Consider the following 20,144-nt stretch of genomic DNA (forward strand, 5'->3'; position numbering starts at 1 on the left):
CCTGCAGAGTAGCTTTGCCATGAGTTCTAAGGCACAGTACCTCAGTGAACTTCTATACCATTCAATGAACCTGAGCTCTGCCCTCACCAATGAAGTCTGGATATCAGCTTTGTGGGGAAGAGGTGCCTCTCTCTGGGGCACTGTACCCCAGCTCTAGGAATAGTGGCTACTCCATATATGTTACTCTTGTATTCCTCAGCATTCTTTTTACCTCTTATTAACTAGACCCTCATTTCTCCAATCCTCTCTTGATAATTCTTTATATTGAATTTTCATTATTCAAATTACTGTATGTTTTATGTCTCAGGATTAGACCCTGATGGATATAAAATTGGTTCTAGGAATAGTTCCAACAGATAGGCCAGAAAAGATGGGATTTGGGTATTTATTTGGTCATGTCCTCAGACTTGAGTGCAGTAGTGAGCTCTTTGCCAAGGGAAATGGAATGTTAAGTAAAATGCAGCATGCAGTGAAATCATAACTAGTTAAATTAACACCTATGGTTGACTGGGATGGAGTGCCCATTAAAACAAGTGCCTTGGGAGCTCAGCTGGCTGCTACATTTGACCATAATGGCAGCAACGATGACTACAAGGACTGTGGTGCAGGATGGATATTTTTAAGTGTGCTTGAGTGCTTACAGAAAGAAAACAACAAACTCAGATTCTTTAAGCCCCAGTTCAAGTTAAAATCTGAGAACTAGAAAGCCTTCATGATATAATCCTTGAAGCCATGGTACTAACAGTAATGAAAGACAAACAAAATTTAGTTGTTCATGTTACTTAATTACAACAAGAATTCATAGTCTCACCAAGTGTCTCATGAAAGTCAGGGCATCTAATGAGAAAGATGGGACATGGAACTTGGAATAGGGATATCTGCTTGGACCCAGATGAAACTGACAATCCTGAACTCCCAAGTCCCTTCAGCCACCCTTATCAGTGGAAGTAGCTTGCCCTCTGGTGTTTGAGAAAACTAGCCTTTCTTTGCTTAAAATCATGTGCTAACTTCACTTGAGGCAGATGTCTTGGAAAGGGATCCTCATTCTCTTCAAGACCCACCACAGACCCCCTCATTGTCATTAGACCCACAACTGGGGTTAAATCTCAGCATGTTCCAGGGGCACAGATCCACACTGTGACCCATGAAGAAATAGTTTACACACCAAAATAATTACAATAATGTTCAATAATATATGGGAATGTATTAAAAAACATGTGTGGGTATGCATTATAAGGATGTTTGACCAGGAGGATGGAATACCCCACTAAAACAGGTTAAATTCATTGATATGACTGAATTTGCTAAAGATTCCAGATTTATAATGTGTCTTTTTGTGCTGAAAGTAGGTATAACACCTTGCTTCATTGGTTAACTGAAATATGGGATCAGCAGTGCCCTACAGTTGATAATATTGAGATGCCAGAGCTGCCCCAGTGTGATGTAGAAGAGGGAATTCAAACACTTAGGGAGATAGGAATGTTAAGTACCATTTATCATGCATACCCACTCCCAACTATATTCCACAAGAAGGCCAAGGGAGCACTTTCTTCACTAACAATGAGAAATAAATTAGTAAGGGGAGCATCCACATCATTGAAAAGCTGTATGGTTTTTCTGTCCTGTAGGCTAGGTATGACTGTGTGGATGCCATCATTGAGATGAGTTCCTTGATTTCAATAGGGATGATGAGATCCTGGGGTAGCAACTGCCAAAGACGAATTGGGTCCATCTTCCTTAAAGGGCTGCAGAGACACAATAGTAATCAGAATGTTTTGACCCACAAAGATCTTTGGACATAGCTAGTTATAACAACGTCCTGAGGAAGGAAATAGATGAGAAGTCTATTAGGTTATTGCTTGAGCTATGTAACTGGAAAAAAATCTAAGTCTGGCACCCAAAAACTTGATTGTAATGCCAAAATGGTGAGTCACAGCCTTACTCCCAGATTACATAGCTAATTCAGCTCACAAACCCAGAGCCCCTTGATTGAAGGAGAAGCTAGATCCCCTTGAAGGACTCTTTGCCATTACCACAAATATATACCATAAATCTTCCTACAAGCCTTCCCCCAAAAGATTGCTGCCATTTGCCAGAGTGATTACTCACCGGGAAAAGTCAATACCCAGACCTTTCAGGGACTGCTAGATACTAGCGTTGATCTGATGCTAATTCTTGGGGACCCAAAATGCCACCATGTCTCTGTAAGTGAGGCCTTGCTGTGGTCAGGTGACAGATGGAGTCTAAGCTCCAATCTGACCCACTTGTAGGCCCCACAGTGTGGTTGTTTTTCCAGGTCCTTAGTGTATAATTAGGGAAGGCATATTTGTCAACTATGAAAAACTCTACCTAGGTTCTCTTATCCATGACATGAAGGCCATAATACTGAAGGGTTAAGAGGAAACCCTTGAAACTTTGCCTTCCTCCCAAGAGAGTAAACCAGAAGTAATGCTGTATCCCTGGGAAAGGTGCAGAGATGAACACCACCATTAAAAACTTGAAAGAAGCAGAAGTGGTGGTACCCAACATATCCCCACACTTTGGCCCGTGTAAGTCAGACAAAACATGAAGAAAGACCGTGGACTATTGTTCACTTAACCGGGTGGTGACCCTAATTGCAACTGTTATCTAAAACCTACTTTTTATTATTCATATAAAAATATTATTATTATTCAAAATGTAATATATTTGCTTGAACAAACCAATTCAGACTCTGGCACTTGATACACAGCTATTGACCTTTCTATTTTTTCCTCAGATGTTGCATGTGATGCCTGGAGGTATGCCAGCTATTTTGAAATCCTGAAGATAAAAGCAACAATAAGGAAAGCAGAACAGGAAGGTTAACAGAGCCTGGGTTTTTGATCATGTCATTTATCCACCATACTAGCCCTGATTGGCTCAACCCCTCAACTTCTCATTGAGAAATAAACCTATTACTTATATATAGTTGTTTTCTGTTACTTGATGGTGAATGCAATTATAACTGACACAAAACTTCAAGAACAGAAGGCAAAAAGAGATTTCTCAAACTAAAAGGAAGATGGCTTGGCAATTTGCAGGTTCTATCAGTATAAGAGACACACACTTAGCTCCTTCCTACAGCTCCAGAAAGATAGAAAGATCTCCAGAAGAATACTTCCCCTATTAATCCCAAACGTGACAAGGATTCTTGACTCAAGTACTTAACACAGAAGCAGCTAAGCTATTTGCCTTTAAGAGGCTATGAGGTTTTGACGAGGAATGCATTAGCCAGATGACAATTACTTATGGAATACTTAGGTGGCCAGTATAGACTGAGGACCAGAAAACCTTCGCCGATGTTCCACACTGCCTGGGACCCACGGGGTCTTAAATGTCCACTGAGAAGGGAGGGAGCTCCAATAGGGATGGAATTTTCTGTCAGAGGAGTAGGATGAGGGCTCAAATTCATAATTAGAAAACTAAAGACATGTTATGTTTATTGCACAGCTGAACATGTGGAATAAAATTCATAACTATTATGACCATAAAGTAAAAATATAAATTCCTATTTATCTTTAATTCCCATTTCTGACAAAATGCTTCTAGTATTTTTCTGTTTGACATGATCAAGAAATCATTAAAATATAGTCCTCAGAATCCTAGAAATTAAGCTTTATATGGAGCACATGAAACTACCAAGCCTTACAGAAATTTTAACTTTAAAAAGATCTTTTCTACAGCCTCCTATATCCCCCAAACTTGTCACTCAGCACAAGCTGCAAGGAGATAAGTTATGAGATCTTAGTATTCTACTCTTCACCTGTAAGAATTCTGAAATAAACCATAACACAGTCGCATCTTACTTTTATATATCAGTATAATTTAAATATGTATTTATGCCAACAAACTACATATGTTATTCAGAAGTCACTTGAATACACTTCAAAATTGAGAGAGGCAGACATTTGTATTTCATGATTGTGTACCTAAATGCACACAGGCATCAGTTCTCTCTCTGAAGAATGAGTAGAAATTCCACAGGTCTTGGCAGCTTCATCTTTTGGGGGTTACCATTCCCTCCCCTGCCTCGGGTGAGTAAGACCTTTTCTGGTTTCTGTAGTGTAGTCAACTCTTGTTTGTATCCAGAATTAACTAGTTTGTGGATTAACCATGGGGAAAAAATTATAACTAGTAGATTAATTTTTAAAATGCAGCAATGTATGTCAACAAAAATATCTACATTTTAAAAGAGGCCAACTGCTTGAAACTACATACTAACAATGCAGGGCCACTCCTATCCCAGCCAACTGTAAACAGTCTTATCTGCTTGAAACCCCATGTTTACATCCTGCATATGGAAGGAAGAAGTACAAAGTCTTACCAGCAGTCTTGAGAATTCTGGTCAGTTTTAAACACATTGGTGCACAGTCCCTTTCTTTTAACTTTTTAGGGCAGCCAGAGGGTTCTTAGCCTGCTCCTCAAATGTTATATGATTTTAGTCTAGGATTAGAGAGAAAGAAGGGAGGTATGCTTTTCAGAACAAAACTCAAATTTTTTTGCAAAAAATCCAGGACCTGAAGCTTTTAATTTAGTGCAGGCACATGGAGGGACCAAGGTTGCAAAGAGCGAGGGGGCACATGAAGAATGGGAAGGAAAAGCCACTGAAGGAGCCGACATTAAGAAGTTGGGTAATTTAACTTCAGAGCTGTGTGGTTTGACGGTGATGCATGTGACCTGGGGTGTGAGACACTGAGGGATGACAAGATGGTGAGGTCGCCTTGTGGAGAGGAGGTGAGTGATCGCAGCAGTGCAGGGTAGAGGCTGCTAGCAAAATATGAACACGCTAGGGCTGCACTTTATCACCTAGACCATCTGCTGGATGCTTTAGGAAGCGGAGGACCATTTGCTAAGTGACAAACTGATGTCACTTTATTCTAATATTCAACAAAAGAAGAACTCCGCCAAGCAGCAGACAGTAACAACAGACTATTTTGCCACTTTTCATCAAGCAATTTGTGTGATGTTTTGAGTCCCTTAAGTATTATTCTTGCATTATGTTTATACTTTGATAATATCTGTAGAACAGGAAATGTGTCCCTAAATATTAGATGTCATTTTAAGTAAATTGTCGTTCATTAAATCCATTGTTGACACTGTTTTGCCTGAGTTTGCTTAGCTGCTTCTGAGGCTTCTCCATAACTCCTCCCACCTTTCTTGCTCTTATCCTCTCATGCACATTATCATAAACACCCAACAACTGATAGACCATGAGTACATCTCACAACGGTGCCCGTGACTTTGACTTCACATTAGAGCTGGGCATCTGGAGCTTCAGACTGGTGGTCTGCACATCTCAAAACAGAAGCCAAGTCCTTAGAAATTCCACAGGACTTGTACATGCTGTATTTTTTGTCTTTGAGAAATATATGCTTACTCTGCTATAAATGAAGAATATTGCTTCAGAAGAAGACGGCTTTTCCTCTGTATTCTGATTGATATTACTGTTGACCACACATATTTTTACACCACATATACACACACACACACACACACACTTCCACACTTCTAAATGGTCATTTCTTTTTTTTTTTTTTTTCAGATGGAGTCTCACTCTGTTGCCCAGGCTGGAGTGCAGTGATGTGATCTCGGCTCACTGCAAGCTCTGCCTCCCGGGTTCACGCAATTCTCCTGCCTCAGCCTCCTGAGCAGCTGGGACTGCAGGTGCCCGCCACCACGCCCAGCTAATTTTTTGCATTTTTAGTAGAGACGGGGTTTCCCTGTGTTAACCAGGATGTTCTCGATCTCCTGACCTCGTGATCCACCTTCCTTGGCCTCCCAAAGTGCTGGAATTACAGGTGTGAGCCACCGCGCCTGGCCTCTAAATGGTAATTTCTTATGCAAGATGCTTTGCCCTGACCTTCTCTACTTTTACTATTGTCTTTGTCACTGAAACATCTATGTGTAGCTTATAATAGCAGATTTACAAGTGATTTAAAGATAAACTGTTATGTTTAAGCAAATGCACACTCTTTTTCTTAAAATTTAGATTTCTAGTTCTCAAGCAAATTGGTACAACTGTCAGAGCTTGTTGAGATTAATGCAATTAAAAACTTCCTGCAGACAGGCTATTCAAACATACTGCTTTGAGACAGACTCCTAGCTGTGTGGGCTACTGGACACTTGTGCTTTCTTATGGAAAGCTCCATGATGGAGCCACACTGCACCTGCACCACACAGCCCAACAACATCATGGTAATACCATGGTGAAGACAGCAGAGATCGGCCTTGGGAAAAATGCTGCTAAAACTATATTTACTGATTATTGAGAAAAGACACCCAGAGCCACCTCCCACCAAGCACCCCTAGCTCAGGCTGAGAATCCCTGCAAATGCCACCCAGTCCCAAGACAGCCTCCTCTGACCTGCTGAGAAAAACCACAGGACTTATTGATTTCTGAATGATCAATCAAGTTCCTTGATATCAGGAGAAATATTGTTTTAACAGTTCCTGGACTTCATTCTAGTGGGTTGTGGAAAGCCTACTTTTTCAAAGATAGCCCTTCTAACTTAACCAACACCTTATACCCTTGTATCTATAGGTCTTCTACAACCTGGCCAGGCCAGAGCCTGGGGTCTGAACAGATCTACAGATAATTCCTGTGTTCTACCGACTACACACTAGACTGTGAGTTCCTTGAGTTCAAGGACTGGTTTATTCATCTTTGTAGTCAGACACAAATATTTTATATGTGTATACTATAAAATATAGCGTATGTATATGGTATATAGTAGATTCTCAATAAGTATTTGCACAAGTTAAATGTTGACTCTCTTGGCAAGAACTTTATACCTGGGAATTATGGTTGAGCAATTAAGTTAGAAGTGACTTGTAACAATATATCAATTTTAATTCATCCAACGTTAGTTGTGTTCAAATTTGTGTGTTATAACCTGGGTATATAGTATGATTAAAATTAGCTTTGGTCCTAAACACTATAATTCATTTGAGGAATGTGTCATCTTACCAAGTCAAATTCATGGACATTGTAGTAAGTAGTAAATATGAGTACCACAAGTGTGAGCAACATGAGGGAGGGACACTTAGCTATTGAGACCAAATAAATGCCATTTGGGTGAGTCAGAAAGTGCTGGTGAAGTGTGCTTCATTATGAATATCATTTGCATGAAGATCCTGCAATATGTCATCTAAAATTCCCCAATTCCGATTTTGAAACACTAATAATAGCTAATATTCTTTGAGTCCATTCTACAAGCCAGGCATCATACTAGGCTGCTTTGGGAGCACATGTTACTAACCCCCCAGAGAATCCCTATGAAGGAGATATTATCACCATTTTCATTTTACAGATGGAGAAGGTAGGTAACGGAGGGATTAATGAACACGCCCAGTGTTACATAGCTAGCAAGTGGCTGAGCTGGAATTTAAATTTAGTGACCTAACTCCCTTACCAATGTGCTCATAGTTACTAGGTGGGCCTAGTAACACAGCTCTGCAATATCCTTGAATAGCCTGGCTTCCTCAGGCTTTTGATTTCATTTACAAGATTGAGATTATTGAGTGATGAGTTATAGGACTGGTAAAAAGCTGAATTCCAACAGTCTCACATATGGAATGTCTTAGCTTTAGAAGAAGTAGGAATATGGGAAGATAGGGTGATGGTAACTTCTACAAAGTGCTTTCAGCTGAAAGCCTGAATAGGTCTCCTACTCCCTCTGCTTCTGCCTACTTCCAGAGAAACCTCTTAGCTTAAGAACTACAGGGATCAGTAAAAAGATAAAACTCTTCCGAATTGGCCACAAGTGTGGGTCTGTTTCAGGACCAAGATCTGGTCTGTATTCCGTTGCTTATCAGTAATCCTCTAAAGTGGATTTACCCTAACTGCGGTTGTTTGGTACCTCGTTCTCTGTGCTAGATACTTATCTGGGGGGAAGAGATCCTCAACAACACTATTCTTTATTGCACAGGTCAGCAAACTTTCCTATAAAGAACTCTATAGTAAATATTCTAGGCATCGTAGTCCATGAGGTCTCTGTCATAACTACTCAACTCTGCAGTTACAGAGCAAAAGCAGCCATAGACAATTTGTAAACAAACGAGCATGAGGGCTGGGTTCTAATGAAACTTCATGAATGAAAACCGCATTTTGAATATCATATACTTTTCAGGTGTTCTGAATTACTACTCTTTTTTTGGATTTTTCTCCAGCCATTCAAAAATGTAAAAGCCATTCTTAGCATGTTGGCCATACCAACCATCCCAAGGTTTCAGAATACCAGCAACTTATTTGCACACATGGGAACCCCTCTTTGCAAAGTCTACTCAGCTCTCCCAAAGGCCATATAACCCATCTTGAGGCACAGTGTTTGGCACATAGGACATGTTGGAGGAGGAGGAACTTACCATCACTCTTCTTTCTGTGCTACAGTGAGCATCTCTATTAGAGGGGACATCCTGGACTGAGGTTAGCAGAGTAGTTTGTGGTAGGAAGAAATGCTCCCCGCACCAATCACTGTAGTCAGTATCCCTGAAAAGTAGGAATCACAGGTTGCTCATCTGTCAGATTAGGTTTCCATGAATCACAGATTATATTAATGAGCATCTTTGCAAAAGCTCCCTGTACTATTTGCCAAGAAATAATCTTCACCCTGACAATAGCAATTAGCAATAAATGTTCTTTCTCCTTCCTTTTAAAAAATTGGGGTTTGAAACTGATGTTTTATAGGTTAGTTATCTTTTTCTGAAAACAAAGGTGGATGCGGGTGATCTATATGTTCATCTCAAGTTTTCCCTTACAGTCTCTGAGAACTCCAGCCTATGTTTTCAGGTGGTTGTGAAGAAGAAGGAAGCTTCTTGTTTCTCCTTTCTTAGTAAAAGCCGAAGAGATAAGATTCAAAAGCATTAGAGAGAGGCTATTAACTATGTTGGTGCCTGCCCACAGGTCCATCCTTACCAACTTAGGGCATGAAACCAGCTGATTTTCAACTGCCAGGACTGACCTCTTTTTGTCTGAGGGGTCCTTGGCACCCTGGCACACTGGTACTGAAGCATTTTGTCCACCACTGCAGCAGACTAGAAATGCTAGAGAATCATTGCCCTCCCAGAAACAGCCCTCGACCGACTAGCAGGGATTGATGTATAAATATCCCAACTTCCTCACTCCTTAGATGGGATAATGCTGAGGCCAATGTCTTACACTGGCACCCAGGGTAAAGTTTCCATTGCCCCGGATAACTGGATTGATAGTGCACCCTTTATAACCCTATAATCAGCCTACTAGTTGGTTGTGAAATGTGGCCAAGGACAGTGGCTCCCTCAGTCCACTTCACGACATCCCAACATACGAGGGGAAGGAGGAACCAACAAATCCCAAACATCCAGAAAACCTTCTAGAGAAGGACGTATATTCTGCACAAAACCCACAAGGCCCGACACAATCTCAGCCTCCATGTCCTCTCTAACCTCACCTCCTCTGGCTCTTTACTTGGATGGCTCCATTCCAGCCATTCTGTCTTCTTGGCTGTTCCCAAAATATGCATGGCATAGTCCTGCCCCAAGGCTTTTGTTCTTGCTGTTGCCCTGTCTAGAACACCCTACCCCAGGTATCAGCATGGCTCCCTCCCTCACCTCCTTCCACAAGACTTTGTTCCAGTGTTACCCTCTTACTGAGGCCTTCCTGGACCACCTATGCAAAATTGCCACCATCCCACCCTAACACCCCCATTCCCCGGCTCAGCTTCATTTTTCTCCACAGCACTTACTGCTGTCCAGCTTGGCCTGCCCCAGGCTTGTCTCAGAAATTTGGTAGGCAGTGAGAAGAGCTTATATTTAGTGGGTTGCTTTTTGTTTTTAACTTTCACTAATTCTACACTATTTTTGCTTCAGGCTTTTAATTGCCTATTTAACTCAATACATTTATACACAGAGAAATTACCTTGAAACTGTTCTAGGAGGTTCTTTACAGGAAAGTTTAGACTCCAATAGAACCATTGACTTTTGTAACCTGTGTTTGAGTCCCAGCCACTTAGTAATGTGTGGACTTGAGCAAGTTCCTGACCCTCAGTTTCTGTATCTTTAAAATGGGGGCACTAATACCCACTTTGCAGTATTTTTGTAAAGATTAAATGAGATACAATAGTAAAGTGTGCTTAGCAAGTGGGCACATAGCAGGCACCCACTCAATGGCAGCTATTTTTATTATTGTTTAAAGTCATTTTGAAAAGGTGGCCCTGGCCTTTGAAACTCTGCTGTCTCTTGAAGATCATCACGGGACACAGCAGAGAGTTCAAATCTCTTCTCAAATCCTAAAGTCTTGACAAGAACCACTGAGCATTCTTTTACCTCTAAAAAACTATCAACCTAGGTGTCCAATAACAGATGACTGCATAAAAACCTGTGGGATAAATACACAGTGGAATACTCTTCAGCCATTAAAAAAAAAAAGGAATGAAATCCTGTCATTCCACAGCAACGTGGATGGAACTGGAGGATATTATGTTAAGTGAAATAAGCCAGGAACAAAAAGTTAAACACTGCATGTTCTCACTCATATGTGGAAGCTGAAAAAAAGTTGATCTCATACAAGTGAAAAGTAGAACAGAGGATACTAGGGGCTGGGAAGAGTAGAGGAAGGAAGGGATAAGGAGAGACTTATTAAAGGATACAAAATTACAGATAGGAAGAGTAAGTTTCAGGGTTCCATAGCATGGTAGGATGACTGTAGTTAACAATAATATATTAGATGGTTTCTAAACACTAAAAGGAGGATACTGAATGTCCCCAACACAAAAAAATGATAAATGTTTGAGATGATAGATATGCTAATTACCCTGATCTGATCACTATACATTATATGATCGAAACATTACTATGCTACATACCCCATGAATAATAGCACAATTATTATATTTCAATTAAAAAATTTAAAAAATTTTAAAAGATTATCAATACACTTGTGATAAAGAGAGTCATGCAAAATAGGGCAACATCCAGGGTTAAATTCTGTGGTGTGGATCCTCATGGGCTGCCAAGTAGCTCAGCAGAGGGGAAGCTTGAGAGAGCTGGACCACCCACAGAAGATGTCAAACAAGAGGGAGGAATTGCTTTGGGTCTTAAAAGATGGGCCAGACTTCATGGCAAAGAACAGTGTGGATAACATTCCAACTGAGGCAGAAGTGAGCATAATGAACTCAGGACAGGCAGTGTGGGGGTCAAGGATGCAGGGACCCCAAGGTTGAACCCATAGGACTGGGGAGGACCCAGAAGGTCAGAAATAGGAGTTTGTGACCAACCGAGAGGTGATTTGAGGTCAAAATCCATTTGAATAATGCGAGTCAGATAGCTGAAAAGGACCCAATTTGCCATCTGCCATTGTATCAAGGAATTTTTGGCCTTTCAAGCACCAAACTCTCCCTCTTTTGCCCTTTACTTCCCACATCCACTTTCTCTTTCCCTCTCCCACCCCCAGCCGCCGCGGAGCCTATATTGAAACAATGTGTACTGATTTGGTAAGATTCATTTATTTCCCCGTTTTTATTCGTCAGAAATACTGAGTTGTCCATTATGGCTTTGGGTAAACATGAGATGACCAGTGTTTTTGTACCAAGCTAATATACTTGTAACCAGGAGCCTCTAGGAGGCTGCACAGAACCCACCTCAGAGTTGTCCCACCAAAGGGTGAGGAAATTGGAATATTTATCTACCTGCTTTCCTCTGTCATTTGTGAGGGCTGCTTCTAAGGGTGTTCACTTCTGGCCTTTTCCAGGTGAGCTGAGAAAGTTCCCAACCTGTGAATGCTCGATGGAAGTTGCAGGCGTCTGTAGAAGAAAGCTGCTGCCTTGTAAGGGAGTGGTGAAAGCCAAGCAATATGAACAGGACATCAGAAGCTCCTACTATTCCTGGTGTCTCTAACAATTTGACTTTTCCCAGCATTGTCACCTTGGAGCCACAGTAATGTCCCATCAGAAGAGCTCAATCAGAGGAACACCAATGCAAACTCACAAGCGGTACTGCCAAGCTCAGAAGGAACCTTTAAGTCTGGACTGCTCCCCACTCCATGTTCCTGCTTAGCCTTCAGGTCTTTCTGTTGCTTGCTTTCTGTGGCTTCTTGTTTGTTGACACTCCTGAAGCCGTGCTTCCTTTTTAAATGGCATTTTAACACCAATGTCCCCAGATAGCCATGGTACTCCCCTCGGCTGGAATATGCAGGGTGTATGGGGTGGAAAATTGTTGCAACTTAAATTAGAAGCATGAAAACAATGCAGGAAAATTCCATCTGAGGCTGTGTCTCTTGCTTAGTAGAAATCTCAGCTTTCAGAAGAACTGATGCTCGTTTTGGTGAGCCAGTGGTGGCAAAGGTTTCACTCTGATTTCACTTTCATTGCCTTTGGAAGGTCTTAGTCAGCATCTTGCCTCTGCTCAAAGACTCAAACCAAGAGTGCGATGAGGGTTAACTGCACAGTGTCATATTTGTGTCACGACAGATCGATGAGCTCATGGTTAATTCGTTGACTGTCTGTTTCAAGCAGCCCTTTGGTTCATCTGTTCCACTCTACCAGCCAGGCTCTGCCTTGCTTCTCCTACGACAGTTACTTGGACTCTGGTTTCAACTGCTGATCATGATAAGGATTCTAGTACAGAGGATTCTCTGGCTGTTCCATATGCATTCGTTATTATTATTCAATCACATTACTGTTTATTTTTACTCTCCACTTACTTAACTCAGATGAATTGGGAGAGGTTGGTAGAGCATCCTCAAAGTTACTTCCATCCCCACCTATCGCCCTTTCTTGGCTAGGCAAGTGATCTTTGATATCTAATTTATACCATTAAATACATGAAAGTAGAAAAATGAAATAAAACCAGTATTTATATCTTCCATTCAATATTCTACCTACAAGAATTTAAAAAGTCTGAAACACAAATGTATCTAAGAGACAACTATACTATTTTGAAATGTCTTTATAATTTAATAAATTATGGGCTTCAGTAGCTTAACTGAGATATACACTCCTCCCTAATTCCTTCTATTTCCTATATGTCCTGTCCCAGAAATGCCACCCCAATGATACTACTATGTTCGATTCCCCACATGCTTTGTCTGCATGTTACCGAAGTCTTCAAGTCACTTCCTCTAACTTGAATACCTACTCCCAATTTGACTCCTCATTGTGGCCTCCTCGTTCACAACACTTCTACCTAATCTCTAGGTAGGCAACACAGAAGAGAGGTTGAAGATGTGCATTGGACTGAGATAAAACTTAGGTTAGACAGCACTAGGTTCAAATCACAGCTTTGCTGTTTGTTAGCTGCATGACCTTAAACCAGTTACTGAAAACGCTGAGCCTCAGTTTTTTCATCTATAAAATGAGACCAAATGACCCATTTATTTATTTACTATTTCCTATCTCCTAATCTCCATGCACATTCCAAAGGAGTTCTAATGTTTTCCATCTTTGGCATTAAATCAAAGATCTTACTTATTTTAGTTGTGAATGTAAACAAAAAGTTAATATCATAAAATAGGTGCTCTGACAGTCATCACTTAAGAGGAATTTGTATACTTCATGCTAAAAAGAATCAGTTTCCAAAGCAAATGCTGGTCTTCTTACTGATCATGTGCCTTGTCTTTACTTATTCTAGAAATCCCAATCAATTGACGGTTTAAGAATAAAATGTTCTACAACTTACATGGAATATATATATATACATACACACACACACACACACACATACATATATGCACGTATGTGTGTGTGTGTGTATATATATATATATATATTCATATATTCCTACTTCACAGAACTAGTCAAGACCACAAGAGGTTCAGTATCTACAAGCAATACTAGAAAAACTTGGGTAGGCCAGTCCATTCACTAGGATACCATACAGCCAGCAAAGGAGGAAGAGACCTGTTTGTTTCGGAAACTCCTGCTCCCTAAGGAACTACCAAGTCGAGGTGAAGGGAAGAACCACAGTTGTGTGTAGCAATAGCATGGTAATGAATCTAGCCTTTGACACTGACCCCAAGTTTGTGGACTAGCTGAGGTTATGAGCCCCTCTGGGTTCCTTCTTGAGCCCGGTTCTGGGTTTTCCTACCATAAAGGTCTTCAGAGCAGCCATTGCATCACCTGACACTATTTTTCATGGAGGCCCTAATCTGTAGTCAGAGATGCAACAACTCCACCATCTATTGGGGCCCTATTGGGTGCAACGAGTTGTACAGGTGCTTATGTAAAATTATGGTTCTCATCATTTTCACATCATGGTCTATGTAGAAAGTGGCAATATTTTCACAGCACTCTGGTATAAATGGATGAAGCTGCCTGGCTGGGGAAGACTGGCTCAGAGTTCCAGCCACTCTAGGCAGGAGTTTTGAAGGCTGAAAGGACAACATCTCAACTCACCTTCTTCTCTTGTACAATAAAAAAGTGTGTCATGGTTCTGATAGAGTACCTTATTTACTCCCCACAGTAACACTTGGAGGCAAACGTTATTATCTATGAGTTGCTTCTCAAGTTCACACATTTAGTAAATGGTAAAGCCAGGATATGAATCTGGATCTGCTTGATTCCAAGCTGCATTGCATCTACCATGAATTGACCTGCTTTTATAGCTGCCAGTGCTGACCTGGGCAGTCTTGGAGATGTAGATGATGGTCTTGGTAAAATGGGGGAGGACATGGGTTTTGAGAGTCAGGCTAGTTCCTAGGTCAGGCATCAAGGAGACCTTAGCCAAAAAGTAAATGCCACTGCTTTTTATGGAGGGCCACGGTCTTTCAGGGGCAGAAAGAAAACAAATAAAAGAACAGATATCCAATGTTACAATTCTTTGTCCCCGATTACTCAGTATTGCCCAGAGGTCATTAGAGTGACTTCATCTAATGCCCATGTCAAAACAACATGTGCCATCACCTGTCAACCAGCGTCCTAATATCCCAGCATCCCAGATACCTTGATAATCTTCTAGCTCAGAACAACTGAAAAAAAAAAAGTGTATTGGTAAAAACTTGCAGCCACTGGTGTGTTTAACCTTGGATGTGTTTGAGAATAATCTGGTATGCTTCTGCTTCTGGTTTTATAATTTTTTTAACCCAAAGTATAGACATTCAGCTTTAATTGGCAACAAAAAAGTAATGGACCTCACCCACATTCTCCCCCAGCCAGCTGAAAAGAGAATACCAAATATTAGATCTTTTTATTTGACTTCTGGGATTATTTATGCATAGTATAATTACCATGATGTATGATCCTGAGTCTTTTAAGGGCACCTCTCCCGTAGCCATAATTTCTTTCCTCCTTGTGGCTCGGGTACAGCTAACACAATTAACTGGGCACTGACTGGTGCTCCCTAGGGCGATTTCAATCCCTGCCTGGCTTCATTCCCTGTTGTAGAGCTTGACAGGGCCATTCATATGTGACTTGGAGTGAGACTCTCTTCACTTACACTTCTTCAGGGGGTAACTGAATTTCTTCTGGAGCAGGTTTGCTGGTTATGTAGAGAGATATGGGTAAGGCACAAGCAAGTGCACATTTCTCTCTGAACTTTAAAAAAAGCCATAGATTTCAAAAGAAAATGTGCTATTATTATTAATTTTTAGATGGAGTGAGACTCTTTCACCCAGGCTGGAGTGCAGTGGTGCGATCTTGGCTCACTGCAACCTCTGCCTCCAGGGTTCAAGCAATTCTCCTGCCTCAGCCTCCCAAGTAGCTGGGATTACAGGCTTGCACCACCATGCCCAGCTAATTTTTTTTTTTGTATTTTTAGTAGAGATAGAGTTTCACCATGTTGGCCAGGCTGGTCTCGAACTCCTGACCTCAGGTGATCCGCCCACCTTGGCCTCTCAAAGTGCTGGGATTACAGGTGTGAGCCACTGTGCCTGGCCAAAAATGTGTCTTTTAATCCCTCTACAGCTAGTCTCCCTTTTAGTAAATAACTGGCATTTAAAATGAACCGTTATTGAACATGCCTTTGAAACCCTTTTGTAATTGTTAATAAGAACTTCTCCTCAGAAGATAAGTCCCATTGTGAGTATTTAAGCAGAAGTAATTTTTAGTCAAAATAGGCAATTATTTTTATTTCCTCTTAAGCTTTGCTCACCAGAAGCAAAATGGACATTATGCCAAAATGCATTGGTAAGCACCATAGTCAGTTTCAGGCTTTGAGCACTCCTGTCAGAATCTGTTTATGGGAAAGTGGTCCAGAGAACATTATGGAGACCACCTGTCAGCACCTGCCAGTGCAGAGAGCAGGCGATGAAGTTCGAAGGATCCCAGCACCCACCTTCACCATAACCAGTTAGTTGGCACCAAAGGGAAAATTATATCAGTAACAAAACTGAACCAGAAAAAGGAAAATACAGGTACTGATGAATAACTCAAAAAGAAATATATCAAGAAAACTATCAAAGTTTACTGAGAAATATAAACAAAGGCTTAAATGTAAATACTGGACATAGTATTTCTAAGTGGTAAGACTGAATAGAGCAAAAATGTCAATTCTTTCCTCTTTCATATTTACATTTATGTAATTTTAATTAAAATAGCAATAATGTAATAGTATTAAGAGGTAAAAAAATAAAAATAGCAATCAGATCGATGGGGTAGGGGTTTACAGGAGAGACAGAGTTTAACAAAACTATACCAAAGTTTATTCAGAGAAATAGCTGAGAAAATGTGAAAGTGAACTATTCTGTCTCATCCAGTGTCAAATCGGCTAACGAAGTCACAACAATCAAAACTATGCGGGGCCAACGCAAGATGGGACAGAGAGAGTAGACTTGTATAGACAGCCCTAAAACTGAAGTCAATGTAAGACAACTTTTCAATAACGGTGTTGTGAGAATTGGCTATTTTTTTAAAAATTCAAATTCTATCTTCACATCTTACCATACACCAGAATAAATTTCACCTATAAAAACATTAAAAAGAAAATATACATGAGCATTTGACTGATAAATTGAGGACTTCTAATGCAAAAAAAAAGTATAAACAAGCATATTATTTTGACTATATACAAATTTTAAAATTTTACAGGTCTAAGTCTCTCCTCATTACCATGCTACTGTACCTAAAGTTCTATTCTTTATTTTAGAATAAGGCATATTTTTAGAATAAGAACAAGAACGCAGGAGTGTTCTGTTAAAACATAAAACCTTCAAGAGTTAGAGAAGCAACACCATGAGGTGGTATCAGTTGTTAATGTATTGAAGCACTTCTAACTGACAAAGAGCAACCTATTCCCAGACCCTTCCAGCACTTTCTCTATGCCATCTAACCCACAACAGTCCTTCCCCCAGCTCCCCCTGAATACCCCAAGAGCCAGCAACTAAAGGAGTAACACCTGGTACAAAAGGGCCATCCAAACACAGAGCCTCCACCAGTGTCCATTCTGATTCATCCATGCCTGTGCCAAGTCAATTGTTAGACCTTTAGACTATCACCTCTGCTAAGAGATATTCAAAATGGAGCCACTATCAAGGTTTGGTTGATGTAGTAACTGCCATGTTGGAAAGAAGGTAGGGCCCTGAGAGCAGAGGTAAAACGTAGATACACTTTGGCCGGGCACAGTGGCTCACGCCTGTAATCCTAGCACTTTGGGAGGCCGAGGTGGGCAGATTGCCTGAGCTCAGGAGTTCGAGACCAGCCTGGGCAACACAGTGAAACCCCGTCACTACTAAAAATACAAAAAATTAGCCAGGCGTGGTCGCATGTGCCTGTAGTCCCAGTCGCGTGCGCCTGTAGTCCCAGTCGCGTGCGCCTGTAGTCCCAGTCACGTGCACCTGTAGTCCCAGTCACGTGCGCCTGTACTCAGGAGGCTGAGGCAGGAGAATTGCTTGAACCTGGTGGGTGAAGGTTGCAATGGGCCGAGATTGGACCACTGCACTCCAGCCTAGGTGAAAGAGCAAGGTCTCCAAAAAAAAAAAAAAAAAAAAAAAAAAAGTAGATACATTTTGATGAGTGTCTGGAGAAAAAGCAGGTCTCAGCCAGAGACTTCTAGGAGTGAGGGAGGCATCCAAAGAGCAACCAGGTAGTTCAGGATTTGTAGGAAAGCCTGCAGAAAAGGAAAACATTGTGAAAAAGGAATGCTAAAAAATTCTGAGGATAGACTCCTCCAATTTCATCGTTTTACCAATGGCTAACAAGGTAACTGGGTCAACTTATAGCTTCCTACTCCAGCATTTCATTCCGGGTCAATTAAAATTTCAACAAGTCTGGAGGCCATAGTCTTTTTGGAAAGTGTGCCTTTGGAAAAAGACACAAAGTGTGGAGCCTGACCTCACCCCAGTTTGTAGGGAGAGGAGAGAGGGCAGGTAGCAGGTGCATGGGCACCAGGAACGCTAAATGTATGCCCTGCTTGGCACAGGGCACCCTGCACAGAGAAAACTGTCCCACCAAAATGCCAATATCACTCCCACTGAGAAGCATGGTGAAGGAAGTTTGATACTATTTTGGCTTTATACACCTTGATGGCTGAGGTTTGGCATTTCTTTTTTGTTGGGGTAAGGGAGAAGCATTCCTTTAATACAAAATAATAGAGTTTGAAAAGTTGGTTTTTTTTTTTAAGTAAAAGCATTTTTTTTTTACTTTCTTTGGTGTTGAAAGAAAAAGATTCCAATAATGACATTTTGTGCCAAGAGTCATTAGACTAAAGTATCTGCCTGAAGCAAAATTTTATGGCCAAGTTATGAACCTGCAAACAGAACCTTAACTATTGTGATAGGAGCTGACTGTGGTCATAAAAATGAATTTGTTAAATAAAATACGTTTATAATTCACTAGGCTTGGAATCAGGTAAGTGGGAAGAAACCTCCAGTGAGCCGTTATGATTTTGCAAAATAGTCAAAAGAACAGTTCACTCCGTAGGCAGGTAGAGGAGTGCGTGCCCTATTGTCATTATTACAGTGTGTGATTTCATTTATTCATGGGGTGCCAGGGATGCGTGGCCCTTACGAGCGGCTAAAACACAGTGGACAAAAGCAAGAAAATGAAATGAAATCCTGGTCTTAAAGAGACTACAATTGAAATGTGTGAGCCAGTCCAGTTTGGTGGATGACAAGAAACATTGGGAGAACATTAATGTAATGAGCTTTTGCAGATCCTAGTGGGGTTTAGTAATGAGTTCGAAAGAGGACAGAAAGGGGAGGATATAGATTCATTTGGAATGTGAAAGAAAACAAGCCTGGCCACGAAGTAAGAATCTCACTGGGGCATAAAGACTAGAACCAAACAAAAGAAGGGAAAAGGTTTCATGTTGGACGCAGAGCATAGAATTCAAATGCTCTTTTATTACAGGAAAAAAAATCTTGCCTAGTGTAGAAGAAAAGCTAACTCTGGCTTTTCCCAGAAATGGATGGCCCATATAATCACCATCAATAAGTGAAATGAGGATCAAACTCAGGGGAAAAGGGCATAGAAAAGAGAATCAAAACTTAGGGAAGTTTGTGCTCCAAACAAGCCCAGATATTTCTAGTTTCAGCATGTTTAATATCAAAGCAGATATAAAAAAGGAAAGAGAAAGTTATGGACTGATGGTATCCCCCCAAATTCATATGTTGAAGCATTAACCCCAAGACCTCCGAATGTGACTGTATTCAGAGATAGGGCCTTTAAACAGGTGGCTGAGTTAAAATGAGGAAGTTAGGGCGGGCTCTAATCCGACTACTGGTGTCCTTCTAAGTAAAGGAGAGTAGATCATGCAAAGAGACACCGGGAATGGGGAAGACCACGTGAAGACATGGTGAGAGGGCAGCCGTCTCCCAGCCAAGGAGAGAGGCCTCAGGAGAAACCAGCCCTGTGGATGCCTTGATCTCAGGCTTCTAGCTTTAAGAACTTTGAGAAAATAAATATCTGCTGTTTAGGTCACCCAGTCTGTGGTATTTTGTTAGGGCAATCCTAGCAAACTAAGAGAGAGAGAGAAATTTGTAAAAAGAAATTCATGTTAATAGTAGGGCTTAAAGATGACAGAGAAACAGAGCTCTATGACCTTAGAAACCACCATTTTACAAGAGGGAAAACTGAAGACCAAATTACTACGCAAAGTCATCATCAGTTGTTTGCTGTAACACCAACATTAGAACTCAGGTCTCCTGACAGTGAATCCTGAGCTCTTGTCACTCACCCTCATGGCCTTGGCCCCGTCATGGACTTGATGGGGACAGGGCT

At 41.0% G+C, this 20,144-nt stretch overlaps 1 long non-coding RNA gene across 1 annotated transcript in view; it reads right to left on the reverse strand.

Annotated features, from left to right (window-relative positions):
• Positions 1 to 4,358: 4,358 nt before the first annotated feature.
• LOC124900610 (uncharacterized) overlaps positions 4,359 to 20,144 on the reverse strand; it is a 170,779-nt gene continuing 154,993 nt past the window's right edge. The window contains exons 3-4 of the long non-coding RNA XR_001742671.2: positions 8,386 to 8,509; positions 4,359 to 4,464 (exon numbers count right to left, since the gene is read on the reverse strand). This is a non-coding gene — a long non-coding RNA (uncharacterized LOC124900610). The remainder of the gene's footprint in view (positions 4,465 to 8,385; positions 8,510 to 20,144) is intronic.

The sequence above is a fragment of the Homo sapiens genome, chromosome 5 (assembly GCF_000001405.40).
Source record: "Homo sapiens chromosome 5, GRCh38.p14 Primary Assembly".
Lineage (NCBI taxonomy): Eukaryota > Metazoa > Chordata > Mammalia > Primates > Hominidae > Homo > Homo sapiens.